The following is a 15,636-nucleotide window of genomic DNA, read 5'->3' as shown; positions in this document are numbered from 1 at the left end:
TTGTGAACTATAGATGTATTTTCATCCAGTTGTCAGCAGTAGGGTTTATACTATACAGGTGTATATTCTTCTGGACTCTATTCGGGATGTTTGTAATGTTTCACATTTAGTATGTCAATTATAGATTTTACAAGATGGAAATTCTCTCCTAATGTAAGTTTGCTAAAAGTTACTATCATACACTGGTATTGAGGGTTTTTTAAGGCTTCTCCTTTACCCCTGCACATGATCACATGCTTTTTCACCATTTTTGGTAACATAGTGATTTCCAATTGATGGTATTTTCTAATATGGTATCATCTTTGCATTTCTTGGATGCAGGCTATTTATTCATTAATTCACTGCTATATTGGATATGCCTATATTGGATATACTATGAATTTATTGAGAATATTTTGTCTCTATGTGAATGAACTGATCTCAAATGTTGTTTTATTGGACTATCTTCATCTGGTCTTTGTGTCAAAGAAAGCAAGCTTGTTAAAATGATGGAGTAATTCTCCCAATCTTTTCGTGTTGTTTGGAAGAGTTTACATGAAGTGGTGATTAGTTTCTTCTTCACCATTTGATGTAATGGGTCTCTAAACCTGGCTGGTCCTAAAACAGTTTGAAGGTACTTTGGGTTTGGACTATAGTTTCATTTTCTACTGTGCATTCAAAGAGTTCTGTATTTTTATGAGTCATTTTCATTTTGCTAAAAATTGTTCCATTTTACTTAGGTTTTCATATTTAAAAGCATGATATTCATAATAAAATCCTGTTATGGAAATTCTCAAATATATGCAGTAGTACAGAGAATAGAATAATAAACTCAATTAGCTAAGATTTGTCACTAATAATCTTCAATTTTTATGAGTAGAATATTGTTCATATTAAAGTTTATTGGCAAGTGCACTCCAGAGGTGATATGGTGCAGTTTCATTAAGAGATATATAATTTCTGTTGTTTCTTTTGTGATGATGTTGGCAGCCATCACTTTTATCCATTAATCTATCATGGGTTGCAAGATGGTAATTCTCTGATTCTAAAATTCTTTTGAGTTTATTACCCGAAATTTTTCAGATAGAACCTTCTCCTTGTCCATCATTTGTTATCTTGAGATACAGATAATACTTGATAACACTTACGGTGTTCTCTATTAGTATTACATCTTTTCTACACCTAAGTTTTGTATAATTTTACTTATCTAATATCATTTATTTCTGCTTTTTTCATTTGTAATTGATGGTACTCATACACATTGTTATATAAATCCTTTCAAAGAACTGGCTTTTACTAGTTGGTTTGACTATTTTCTCATTTATCACTTTTGAATTTATCTTCATTATTCCTACCTTCTTCTTTGTGTTTAATATGCTATTCATTCTCTAGCTTCTTGAATTGTTACAATGTTTCAAACTTTTTTATAGTAAATCTATTTAATGCAATAAATATCCCCATAAGTACTGCTTGGGCTACTTTTCAACAATTATGCTAATAGAACTTTATGTGTAGAGCTCAATTTTTTTACAAGCTGAACATATATCTCTTAATGCTCTATAATATTTTCAATATCTAAATATAAATATATGTATATATTTTGTGTGTGTGTTTATGCATACAAAAACTAGGGAGTGTAAAATTTATTTAGGACAGAAACAGAGAATTATTTAAAGGAGGTTTAAAGAGCCATGGTATGTTGTGTTGTGTTATATTTTACTTAATGATAGAAGACACTTGAGCAAATTTAATTACTAATGACAGAATGGATGTTTTTTTAAGCAGCCATTCTTAAAATGGCTGCTTAAAATTGTTAATGGCTGAAAGAGCTTCAGATGAGAAAATCAATACAAATAATTAGCTAACTGCAAATATTCATGGGTTATTCCAGGAAAACAAACTACTCTAAATATATAACACAGGGATGGAGTTTTAATGGGCATACTTTATTTTGTAGAGCAGTTTCCAAGTTTACAGAAAAATTCGGTGGTAAATACAAAGAATTCTCTTATACCCTCTCATCGGTTCACACACAGTTTCTCCTATTATTATCACACATTAATGTGGTATACTTGTTAAAATTGATGAGCTAATATTGATACATTTTTATTAATTAAAGTTAACCATTTATATTAGAGTTTAATCTTTCTATTATATATCTTATGGGTTTTTTAAAATGAATGACACGTACACACTATAACAGTATCATACAGAACAGTTTCACTATACTAAAAAAAATCCACTGTGTTCCCCTTATTCCCCCATCCCCCCAGAACCCCCCTTTTTTTAACTGTCTCCATAATTTTGCCTTTTCCAGAATGTCATATAGTTAGAATCCTACAGCATGTAACCTTTTCAAATAGGCTACTTTCACTTAGCAATATGCATTTAGGCTCCTGCATGTCTTTTCATAGCTTAATAACACATTGTTTAATCACTAAACAATATTTCATTGTATGCTTGTGGGACACTTAATTCTTGTTGGTTTCTGCTAAGTTTTGACAATTAGGAATAAAGCTGCTTTGAACATTTGTATTCAAGTTTTGGTGTGGACATCAGTTTTCAACCCATTTGACTAAATACCAAGGAGAGTAACTGCTGAATCATATGACGAGAGTATTTTAATTTTGTAAGATATTGACAAACTGTCTTCCAACGAGGCTGTACCATCTTTGCACTGCCATCATTACTGAATGAGAGATTCTATGCCCTACATCCTCTCCAGTATGTGTCTTGTCAGTGTTTTGGATTTTATCCACTCTAATACATGTGTAGTGATATCTGATTGTTGTTTTAATTTGCAGTTCCCTAATGATCCATGATATAAAGCATCTTTTCATCTTTGTGCTTGTTTGTAGAGAATTGATATCATTCCTTCCTAAAGATTTGACAGCATTCACCAGTGAGCTCATTTGGGACTGTTGTTTACTCTTTTGGAAGCTTATCAGTCATTGATTCAATTTCTTTAATAGATATAGGCCTATTAAGATGATCTCAGTCTCCTTGTGTGAGTTTTGGTAGATTGTGTCTTTCAAGGAATTGGTCTGTCTCATCTAGGTTACCAAGTTGGTGGGCATAGAATTTTTCATAACATTCCTTTACTATCTGTTTAATGTCAATAGAATAATCAGTGATGGCCTTTCTTTCATTTTTGACATTAGCAATTTGTGTCTTCTCTCTTCTTTTCTTAGTTAATGTGACTGGAGGTTTATTAATTTTATTAATCTTATCAAAGGACTGCCTTTTAGTTTTGCTGATTTTCTCTATTGATGTGTTCAGTTTTATTGATTTCTTCTCTAATATTTATTTTTAATTTTATTAGGATTTAATTCACTCTTCTTTTTGTACTTTTCTAAGGTGGAAGGTTAGATTAATATATTAGTTGTCCCTTTTGCTAGTATATGCAGTCAATGACATAAATTTCCCTCCGAGTTCTACTTTTGCTGCACCTCACACATTTTGATAAGTTGTAGTTTTAAAATTTCTCTTGAGATGCCTTCTTTGACCCATGTGATATTTAGAAGCATGTTGTTCAATCTACGTATGTTTGGGGATTTTCCAGCTATCATTCTGTTTTCAATTTCTAGTTAAATTCAACTGTAAATTTAGAGCATACTTTGTATGCTTTCTATCCCTTTAAATTTGATGGTGTGTTTTTATGGGACAGAATGTGTTCTATCTTGGTGTATGTGAGCCTGAAAAAGTGCATTTTATCATTTGGTTAAGTATTATATAAAAGTCGTTTAGATGTGGTTGATTGATGGTGCTGTTCAGTTTAACTATACCCTTACTGATTTTCTCCTGCTGTATCTATCAATTACTGATAGAGGTGTGTTGAAGTCTTCAACTTTAAGAGTGGATGTGTCTCATCAGTATTTGCCTTATGTGACTCATTTTAACACCCTAGTTTTGGTGCATACACAATAAGGACTGGTATATATTCTTGGAGAATTGACCCCTTTATCATTATGAAATGCCCCTCTTTATACCTCATAATTTTCCTTAACCTGAATTCTGCTTGGATTGAAATAAACATGGCTACTCCAGCTTTCTTTACATTTGTGATGTAATCACATATCTTTTTCCAGTTCCTTTACTTTTAACCTGTCTGAATCTTTATGTTTAAGGTGGATTTCTTGTAGGCAACATAAAAGTTTTTTTTTTAATCTCCTCTGATAATTTCTGGTTTTGTCTTTTTATTGGTGTATTTAAATCATTGTATTTAAAAGTTATTATTGGTATAGTTGGGTTAATATCTACCAATTTGTTCGGTTTTAACTTTGTGGTCATTGTGTGTTTTTTATTTTTATTTTTATTTTTTATTTATTTTTTGTTATACTTTAAGTTCTAGGGTACATGTGCACAACATGCAGGTTTGTTACATATGTATACATGCGCCATGTTGCTTTGCTGCATCAATTAACTCATCATTTACATTAGATATCTCTCCTAATGCTATCCCTCCCCCCTCCCCTTACCCCACAACAGGCCCCAGTGTGTGATATTGCCCACCCTGTGACCAAGTGTTCTCATAGTTCAATTCCCAACTATGAGTGAGAACATGCGGTGCTTGGTTTTCTGTCCTCGTGATAGTTTGCTCAGAATGATGGTTTCCAGCTTCGTCCATGTCCCTACAAAGGACATGAACTCATCCTTTTTTATGGCTGCATAGTATTCCATGGTGTATATGTGCCACATTTTCTTAATCCAGTATATCATTGAAGGACATTTGAGTTGGTTCCAAGTCTTTGCTATTGTGAATAGTGCCGCAATAAACATACGTGTGCATGTGTCTTTATAGCAGCATGATTTATAATCCTTTGGGTATATATCCAGTAATGGGATGGCTGGGTCAAATGGTGTTTCTAGTTCTAGATCCCTGAGGAATCGCCACACTGACTTCCACAATGGTTAAACTAGTTTACACTCCCACTAACAATGTAAAAGTGTTCCTATTTCTCCACATCCTCTCCAGCACCTGTTGTTTCCTGACTTTTTAATGATCGCCATTCTAACTGGTGTGAGATGGTATCTCATTGTGGTTTTGATTTGCATTTATCTGATGACCAGTGATGATGAGCATTTTTTCATATGTCTGTTGGCGGCATAAATGTCTTCTTTTGAGAATTGTCTGTTCATATCCTTCGCCCACTTTTTGATGGAGTTGTTTGATTTTTTCTTATAAATTTGTTTAAGTTCTTTGTAGATTCTGGATATTAGCCCTTTGTCAGATGGGTAGATTGCAAAACTTTTCTCGCATTCTGTATGGTGCCTGTTCCCTCTGATGGTAATTTCTTTTGCTCTGCAGAGGCTCTTTAGTTTAATTAGATAACATTTGTCTATTTTGGTTTTTGTTGCCATTGCTTTTGGTGTTTTAGTCATGCAGTCCTTGCCCATGCCTATGTCCTGAATGGTATTGCCTAGGTTTTCTTCTAGGGTTTTTATGGTTTTAGGTCTAACGTTTAAGTCTTTAATCCATCTTGAATTAATTTTTGTGTAAGGTGTAAGGAAGGGAGCCAGTTTCAGCTTTCTACATATCGCTAGCCAGTTTTCCCAACACCATTTATTAAATAGGGAATCCTTTCTCCATTGCTTTTCTCAGGTTTGTCAAAGATCAGATAGTTGTAGATATGCGGCGTTATTTCTGAGGGCTCTGTTCTGTTCCATTGATCTATATCTCTGTTTTGGTACCAGTACCATGCTGTTTTGGTTACTGTAGCCTTGTAGTATAGTTTGAAGTCAGGTAGCATGATGCCTCCGGCTTTGTTCTTTTGGCTTAGAATTGACTTGGCGATGCGGGCTCTTTTTTGGTTCCATATGAACTTTAAAGTAGCTTTTTCCAATTCTGTGAAGAAAGTCATTGGTAGCTTGATGGGGATGGCATTGAATCTATAAATTACCTTGGGCACTATGGCCATTTTCACGGTATTGATTCTTCCTACCCATGAGCATGGAATGTTCTTCCATTTGTTTGTGTCCTCTTTTATTTCGTTGAGCAGTGGTTTGTAGTTGTCCTGGAAGAGGTCCTTCACATCCCTTGTAAGTTGGATTCCTAGGTATTTCATTCTCTTTGAAGCAATTGTGAATGGGAGTTCACTCATGATTTGGCTCTCTGTCTGTTATTGGTGTACAGGAATTGTTGTGATTTTTGCACATTGATTTTGTATCCTGAGACTTTGCTGAAGTTGCTTATCAGCTTAAGGATATTTTGGGCTGAGACAATGTGGTTTTCTAAACATGCAATCATGTCATCTGCAAACAGGGACAATTTGGCTTCCTATTTTCCCAACTGAATACCCTTTATTTCTTTCTCTTGCCTGTTTGCCCTGGCCAGAACTTCCAACACTATGTTGAATAGGAGTGGTGAGAGAGGGCATCCCTGTCTTGTGCCAGCTCTCAAAGGGAATGTTTCCAGTTTTTGCCCATTCAGTATGATATTGGCTGTGGGTTTGTCATAAATAGCTCTTATTATTTTGAGATATGTTCCATCAATACCTAGTTTACTGAGAGTTTTTAGCATGAAGGGCTGTTGAATTTTGTCAAAGGCCTTTTCTGCATCTATTGAGATAATCATGTGGTTTTTGTCTTTGGTTCTGTTTATGTGATGGATTACATTTATTGATTTGCATATGTTGAACCAGCCTTGCATCCCAGGGATGAAGCCAACTTGTTCTTAGTGGATGAGCTTTTTGATGTGCTGCTGGATTCGGTTTGCCAGTATTTTATTGAGGATTTTTGCATCGATTTTCATCAGGAATATTGGGCTAAAATTCTCTTTTTTTGTTGTGTCTCTGCCAGGCTTTGGTATCAGGATGATGCTGGCCTCATAAAATGAGCTAGGGAGGATTCCCTCTTTTTCTATTGATTGGAATAGTTGCAGAACAAATGGTACCATCTCCTCCTTGTACCTCTGGTAGAATTCAGCTGAGAATCTGTCTGGTCCTGGACTTGTTTTGGTTGGTAGGCTATGAATTACTGTCTCAATTTCAAAGCTTGTTATTGGTCTATTCAGGGATTCAAGTTCTTCCTGGTTTAGTTTTGGGAAGGTGTATGTGTCCAGGAATGTATCCATTTCTTCTAGATTTTCTAGTTTATTTGCATAGAGGTGTTTGTAGTATTCTCTGATGGTAGTTTGTGTTTCTGTGGGATCGGTGGTGATATCCCCTTTATCATTTGTTATTGCATCAATTTGATTCTTCTCTCTTTTCTTCTTTATTAGTCTTGCTAGCAGTCTATCAATTTTGTTGACCTTTTCACAAAACCAGATCCTGGATTCATTGATTTCTTGAAGGGATTTTTGTGTCTCTATCTCCTTCAGTTCTGCTCTGATCTTAGTTATTCCTTACCTTCTGCTAGCTTTTGAATTTGTTTGCTCTTGCTTCTCTAGTTCTTTTAATTGTGATGTTAGGGTGTCGATTTTAGATCTTTCCTGCTTTCTCTTGTGGGCATTTAGTGCTATAAATTTCCCTCTACACACTGCTTTAAATTTGTCCTAGAGATTCTGGTATGTTGTGTCTTTGTTCTCATTGGTTTCAGAGAACATCTTTATTTCTGCCTTCATTTCGTTATTTACCCAGTAGTCATTCAGGAGTAAGCTGTTCAGTTTCCATGTAGTTGTGTGGTTTTCAGTGAGTTTCTTAGTCCTGAGTTCTAATTTGATTGCATTGTGGTCTGAGAGACAGTTTGTTGTGATTTCTGTTCTTTTACATTTGCTGAGGAGTGCTTTACTTCCAACTATGTGGTTAATTTTGGAAGAAGTGTGATGTGGTGCTGAGAAGAATGTGTATTCTGTTGATTTGGGGTGGAGAGTTCTGTAGATGTCTATTAGGTCTGCTTGGTGCAGAGCTGAGTTCAAGTCCTGGATATCCTTGTTAACCTTCTGTCACATTGATCTGTCTAATATTGACAGTGGGGTGTTAAAGTCTCCCATTATTATTGTGTGGGAGTCTAAATCTCTTTGTATGTCTCTAAGGACTTGATTTATGAATCTGGGTGCTCCTGTATTGGGTGCATATATATTTAGGATAGTTAGCTCTTCTTGTTGAATTGATTCCTTTACCATTATGTAATGATCTTCTTTGTCTCTTTTGGTCTTTGTTGGTTTAAAGTCTGTTTTATCAGAGACCAGGATTGCAACCCCTGCTTTTTTTTTTTTTTTTTTTTTGCTTTCCATTTGCTTGGTAGATCTTCCTTCAACCCTTTATTTTGAGCCTATGTGTGTCGCTGCAAATGAGATGGGTCTCCTGAATACAGCACACTGGTAGGTCTTGACTCTGTCCAATTTGCCAGTCTGGTTCTTTTAATTGGGGCATTTAGTCCATTTACATTTAAGGTTAATATTGTTATGTGTGAATTTCATCCTGTCATAATGATATTAGCTGGTTATTTTGGCTGTTAGTTGATGCAGTTTCTTCCTAGCATCCGTGGTCTTTACAATTTGGCATGTTTTGTAAACAAAGAAGCTGGGAAGCTCGAACTGGGTGGAGCCCACCACAGCTCAAGGAGGCCTGCCTGCCTCTATAGGCTCCACCTCTGGGGGCAGGGCACAGACAAACAAAAAGACCACAGTAACCTCTGCAGACTTAAATGTCCCTGTCTGACAGCTTTGAAGAGAGCAGTGGTTCTCCCAGCACGCAGCTGGAAATCTGAGAACGGGCAGACTGCCTCCTCAAGTGGGTCCCTGACCCCTGACCACCGAGCAGCGTAACTGGGAGGCACCCCCCAGTACGGGCAGACTGACACCTCACACGGCCGGGTACTCCTCTGAGACAAAAATTCCAGAGGAACAATCAGACAGCAGCATTCGCGGTTCAAGAAAATCTGCTGTTCTGCAGCCACCACTGCTGATACCCAGGCAAACAGGGTCCGGAGTGGACCTCTAGCAAACTCCAACAGACCCGCAGCTGAGGGTCCTGTCTGTTAGAAGGAAAACTAACAAACAGAAAGGACATCCACACCAAAAACCCATCTGTACATCACCATCATCAAAGACCAAAAGTAGATAAAACCACAAAGATAGGGAAAAAACAGAGCAGAAAAACTGGAAACTCTAAAAAGCAGAGCACCTCTCCTCCTCCAAAGGAATGCAGTTCCTCACCAGCAACAGAACAAAGCTGGACGGAGAATGACTTTGACGAGTTGAGAGAAGAAGGCTTCAGATGATCAAACTACTCTGAGCTACAGGAGGAAATTCAAACCAAAGGCAAAGAAGTTAAAAACTTGGAAAAAAATTTAGGCGAATGTATAACTAGAATAACCAATACAGAGAAGTGCTTAAAGGAGCTGATGGAACTGAAAGCCAAGGCTCGAGAACTACATGAAGAATGCAGAAGCCTCAGGAGCCGATGTGATCAACTGGAAGAAAGGGTATCAGTGATGGAAGATCAAATTAATGAAATGAAGCAAGAAGGGAAGTTTAGAGAAAAAAGAATAAAAAGAAACGAACAAAGCCTCCAAGAAATATGGGACTATGTGAAAAGACCAAATCTACGTCTGATTGGTGTACCTGAAAGTGACGGGGAGAATGGAACCAAGTTGGAAAACACTCTGTAGGATATTATCCAGGAGAACTTCCCCAATCTAGCAAGGCAGGCCAACATTCAGATTCAGGAAATACAGAGAACGCCACAAAGGTACTCCTCGAGAAGAGCAACTCCAAAACACATAATTGTCAGATTCACCAAAGTTGAAATGAAGGAAAAAATGTTAAGGGCAGCCAGAGAGAAAGGTCGGGTTACCCACAAAGGGAAGCCCATCAGACTAACAGCTGATCTCTCGGCAGAAACTCTACAAGCCAGAAGAGAGCGGGGGCCAATATTCAACATTCTTAAAGAAAAGAATTTTCAACCCAGAATTTCATATCCAGCCAAACTAAGCTTCATAAGTGAAGGAGAAATAAAATCCTTTACAGACAAGCAAATGCTGAGAGATTTTGTCACCACCAGGCCTGCCCTAAAAGAGCTCCTGAAGGAAGCACTAAACATGGAAAGGAACAACCAGTACCAGCCACTGCAAAATCATGCCAAATTGTAAAGACCATCAAGGCTAGGAAGAAACTGCATCAACTAACGAGCAAAATCACCAGCTAACATCATAATGACAGGATCAAATTCACACATAACAATATTAACTTTAAATGTAAATGGACTAAATGCCCCAATTAAAAGACACAGACTGGCAAATTGGATAAAGAGTCAAGACCCATCAGTGTGCTGTATTCAGGAAACCCATCTCACGTGCACAGACACACATAGGCTCAAAATAAAAGGATGGAGGAAGATCTACCAAGCAAACGGAAAACAAAAAAAGGCAGGGGTTGCAATCCTAGTCTCTGATAAAACAGACTTTAAACCAACAATGATCAAAAGAGACAAAGAAAGCCATTACATAATGGTAAAGGGATCAATTCAACAAGAAGAGCTAACTATCCTAAATATATATGCACCCAATACAGGAGCACCCAGATTCATAAAGTAAGTCCTGAGTGACCTACAAAGAGACTTAGACTCCCACACAATAATAATGGGAGACTTTAACACCCCACTGTCAACATTAGACAGATCAACGAGACAGAAAGTCAACAAGGATACCCAGGAATTGAACTCAGCTCTGCACCAAGCGGACCTAATAGACATCTACAGAACTCTCCACCCCAAATCAACAGAATATACATTTTTTTCAGCACCACACCACACCTATTCCAAAATTGACCACATAGTTGGAAGTAAAGCTCTCCTCAGCAAATGTAAAAGAAAAGAAATTATAACAAACTGTCTCTCAGACCACAGTGCAATCAAACTAGAACTCAGGATTAAGAAACTCACTCAAAACCGCTCAACTACATGGAAACTGAACAACCTGCTCCTGAATGACTACTGGGTACATAATGAGATGAAGCCAGAAATAAAGATGTTCTTTGAAACCAACGAGAACAAAGACACAACATACCAGAATCTCTGGGACAAATTTAAAGCAGTGTGTAGAGGGAAATTTATAGCACTAAATGCCCACAAGAGAAAGCAGGAAGGATCCAAAATTGACACCCTAACATCACAATTAAAAGAACTAGAAAAGCAAGAGCAAACACATTCAAAAGCTAGCAGAAGGCAAGAAATAACTAAAATCAGAGCAGAACTGAAGGAAATAGAGACACAAAAAACCCTTCAAAAAATTAATGAATCCAGGAGCTGGTTTTTTGAAAGGATCAACAAAATTGATAGACCACTAGCAAGACTAATAAAGAAGAAAAGAGAGAAGAATCAAATAGACGCAATAAAAAATGATAAAGGGGATATCACCACCAATCCCACAGAAACACAAACTACCATCAGAGAATACTACAAACACCTCTATGCAAATAAATTAGAAAATCTAGAAGAAATGGATAAATTCCTCGACACATACACCCTCCCAAGACTAAACCAGGAAGAAGTTGAATCTCTGAATAGACCAATAACAGGCTCTGAAATTGTGGCAATAATCAATAGCTTACCAACCAAAAAGAGTCCAGGACCAGATGGATTCACAGCCGAATTCTACCAGAGGTACAAGGAAGAACTGGTACCATTCCTTCTGAAATTATTCCAATCAACAGAAAAAGAGGGAATCCTCCCTAACTCATTTTATGAGGCCAGCATCATCCTGATACCAAAGCCTGGCAGAGACACAACAAAAAAAGAGAATTTTAGACCAATAGCCTTGATGAACATTGATGCAAAAATCCTCAATAAAATACTGGCAAACTGAATCCAGCAGCACATAAAAAAGCTTATCCACCATGATCAAGTGGGCTTCATCCCTGGGATGCAAGGCTGGTTCAATATATGCAAATCAATAAGTGTAATCCAGCATATAAACAGAACCAAAGACAAAAACCACATGATTATCTCTATAGATGCAGAAAAGGCCTTTGACAAAATTCAACAACGCTTCATGCTGAAAACTCTCAATAAATTAGGTATTGATGGGAAATATCTCAAAATAATAAGAGCTATCTATGACAAACCCACAGCCAATATCATACTGAATGGGCAAAAACTGGAAACATTCCCTTTGAAAGCTGGCACAAGACAGGGATGCCCTCTCTCACCACTCCTATTCAACATAGTGTTGGAAGTTCTGGCCAGGGCAATCAGGCAAGAGAAAGAAATAAAGGGTATTCAGCTGGGGAAATAGGAAGCCAAATTGTCCCTGTTTGCAGATGACATGATTGCATGTTTAGAAAACCACATTGTCTCAGCCCAAAATATCCTTAAGCTGATAAGCAACTTCAGCAAAGTCTCAGGATACAAAATCAATGTGCAAAAATCACAACAATTCCTATACACCAATAACAGACAGAGAGCCAAATCATGAGTGAACTCCCATTCACAATTGCTTCAAAGAGAATGAAATACCTAGGAATCCAACTTACAAGGGACGTGAAGGACCTCTTCAAGGAGAACTACAAACCACTGCTCAACGAAGTAAAAGAAGATACAAACAAATGGAAGAACATTCCATGCTCATGGGTAGGAAGAATCAATATCGTGAAAATGGCCATACTGCCCAAGGTAATTTATAGATTCAATGCCATCCCCATCAAGCTACCAATGACTTTCTTCACAGAATTGGAAAAAGCTACTTTAAAGTTCATATGGAACCAAAAAAGAGCCCGCATCGCCAAGTCAATTCTAAGCCAAAAGAACAAAGCCGGAGGATTCATGCTACCTGACTTCAAACTATACTACAAGGCTACAGTAACCAAAACAGCATGGTACTGGTACCAAAACAGAGATATAGATCAATGGAACAGAACAGAGCCCTCAGAAATAACGCCGCATATCTACAACTATCTGATCTTTGACAAACCTGAGAAAAGCAATGGAGAAAGGATTCCCTATTTAATAAATGGTGTTGGGAAAACTGGCTAGCGATATGTAGAAAGCTGAAACTGGCTCCCTTCCTTACACCTTATACAAAAATTAATTCAAGATGGATTAAAGACTTAAACGTTAGACCTAAAACCATAAAAACCCTAGAAGAAAACCTAGGCATTACCATTCAGGACATAGGCATGGGCAAGGACTTCATGACTAAAACACCAAAAGCAATGGCAACAACAGCCAAAATTGACAAATGGGATCTAATTAAACTAAAGAGCTTCTGCACAGCAAAAGAAACTACCATCAGAGGGAACAGGCAACCTACAGAATGGGAGAAAATTTTTGCAACCTACTCATCTGACAAAGGGCTAATATCCAGAATCTACAATGAACTCAAACAAATTTACAAGAAAAAAACAAACAACCCCACCAAAAAGTGGGCAAAGGATATGAACAGACACTTCTCAAAAGAAGACATTTATGCAGCCAAAAAACACAGGAAAAAATGCTCACCATCACTGGCCATCAGAGAAATGCAAATCAAAACCACAATGAGATACCATCTCACACCAGTTAGAATGGCGATCATTAAAAAGTCAGGAAACAACAGGTGCTGGAGAGGATGTGGAGAAATAGGAACACTTTTACACTGTTGGTGGGGGTGTAAACTAGTTCAACCATTGTGGAAGTCAGTGTGGCAATTCCTCAGGGATCTAGAACTAGAAATACCATTTGACCCAGCCATCCCATTACTGGGTATATACCCAAAGGACTATAAATCATGCTACTATAAAGACACATGCACACGTATGTTTATTGCGGCACTATTCACAATAGCAAAGACTTGGAACCAACCCAAATGTCCAACAATGATAGACTGGATTAAGAAAATGTGGCACATATACACCATGGAATACTATGCAGCCACAAAAAATGATGAGTTCATGTCCTTTGTAGGGACATGGATGAAATTGGAAATCATCATTCTCAGTAAACTATCGCAAGGAAAAAAAACCAAACACCGCATGTTCTCACTCATAGGTGGGAATTGAACAATGAGAACACATGGACACAGGAAGGGGAACATCACACTCTGGGGACTGTTGTGGGGTGGGGGGAGGGTGGAGGGATAGCATTAGGAGATATACCTAATGCTAAATGACGAGTTAATGGGTGCAGCACACCAGCATGGCACAGGTATACATATGTAACAAACCTGCACATTGTGCACATGTACCCTAAAACTTAAAAGTATAATAATAAAATAAAAAAAAAAACAAAAAACAATTTGGCATGTTTTTGCAGTGGGTGGTACCGGTTATTCCTTTCCATGTTTAGTGCTTCCTTCAGGAGCTCTCATAAGGCAGGCTTGGTGGTGACAAAATCTCTCAGCATTTGCTTGTCTGTAAAGGATTTTATTTCTCCTTCACTTTTGAAGCTTAGGTTGGCCGGATATAAAATTCTGGGTTGAAACTTCTTTTCTTTAAGAATGTTGAATATTGGCCCCCACTCTCTCCTGGCTTGTAGGGTTTCTGCCGAGAGATCCGCTGTTAGTCTGGTGGGCTTCCCTTTGTGGGTAACTGGACCTTTCTCTCTGGCTACCCATAACATTTTTCCTTCATTTCAACCTTGGTGAATCTGACAATTATGTGTCTTGTGGTTGCTCTTCTTGAGGAGTATCTTTGTGACGTTCTTTGTATTTCCTGAATTTGAATGTTGGCCTGCCTTGCTAGGTTGGGGAAGTTCTCCTGGAGAATATCCTGCAGAGTGCTTTCCAGCTTGGTTCCCTTCTCCCTGTCAGTTTCAGGTACAACAATCAAAGGTAGATTTGGTCTTTTCACATAGTCCCATATTTCTTGGAGACTTTCTTCCTTTCTTTTTACTCCTTTTTTCTCTAAACTTCTCTTCTCGCTTCATTTCATTAATTTGATCTTCAATCACTGATACCCTTTCTTTCACTTGATCGAATAGGCTACTGAAGCTTATGCATGTCATGTAGTTCTTGTGCCATGGTTTTCAGCTCCATCGGGTCATTTAAGGTCTTGTCTACACTGTTTATTCTAGTTAGGCATTTGTCTAATCTTTTTTCAAGGTTTTTAGCTTTCTTATGCTGGGTTAGAACATCCTCCTTTAGCTTGGAGAAGTTACTTATTACCGACCTTCTGAAGCCTACTTCTGTCAACTCATCAAAGTAATTCTCTGTCCAGCTTTGTTCTGTTGCTGGCGAGGAGCTGTGATCCTTTGGAGGAGAAGAGATGCTCTGGTTTTTAGAATTTTCAGCTTTTCTGCTCTGGTTTCTCCCTTTGTGGTTTTATCTACCTTTGGTCTTTGATGATGGTGACCTACAGGTGGGGTTTTGGTATGGATGTCCTTTTTGTTGATGTTGATGCTATTCCTTTCTGTTTGTTAGTTTTCCTTCTAACAGTCAGGTCCCTCAGCTGCAGGTCTGTTGGAGTTTGCTGGAGGTCCACTCCAGACCCTGTTTGCCTGGGTATCACCAGCGGAGGCTTCGGAACAGCAAACATTGCAGAACAGCAAATATTGTTTCCTGATCCTTCCTCTGGAAGCTTTGTGTCAGAGGGGCACCCGGCTGTATGAAGTGTCAGTCGGCCCCTACTGGGAGGTGTCTCCCAGTTAGGCTACGTGGGGGTCAGAGACCCACTTGAGGAGGCAGTCTGTCCGTTCTCAGAGCTCAAACACCGTGCTGGGAGAACCACTGCTCTTTTATTTTTATTTTTATTTTTATTTTATTTTATGTTATTTTTCATCTTCCACTCTTTTGCTGCATTCTCTG

This window comes from Homo sapiens, chromosome X (genome assembly GCF_000001405.40).
Source record: "Homo sapiens chromosome X, GRCh38.p14 Primary Assembly".
In the NCBI taxonomy this organism is placed as follows: Eukaryota; Metazoa; Chordata; class Mammalia; order Primates; family Hominidae; genus Homo; species Homo sapiens.
The sequence above is the reverse complement of the archived record's forward strand: the minus strand, read 5'-3'. Positions refer to the sequence as shown.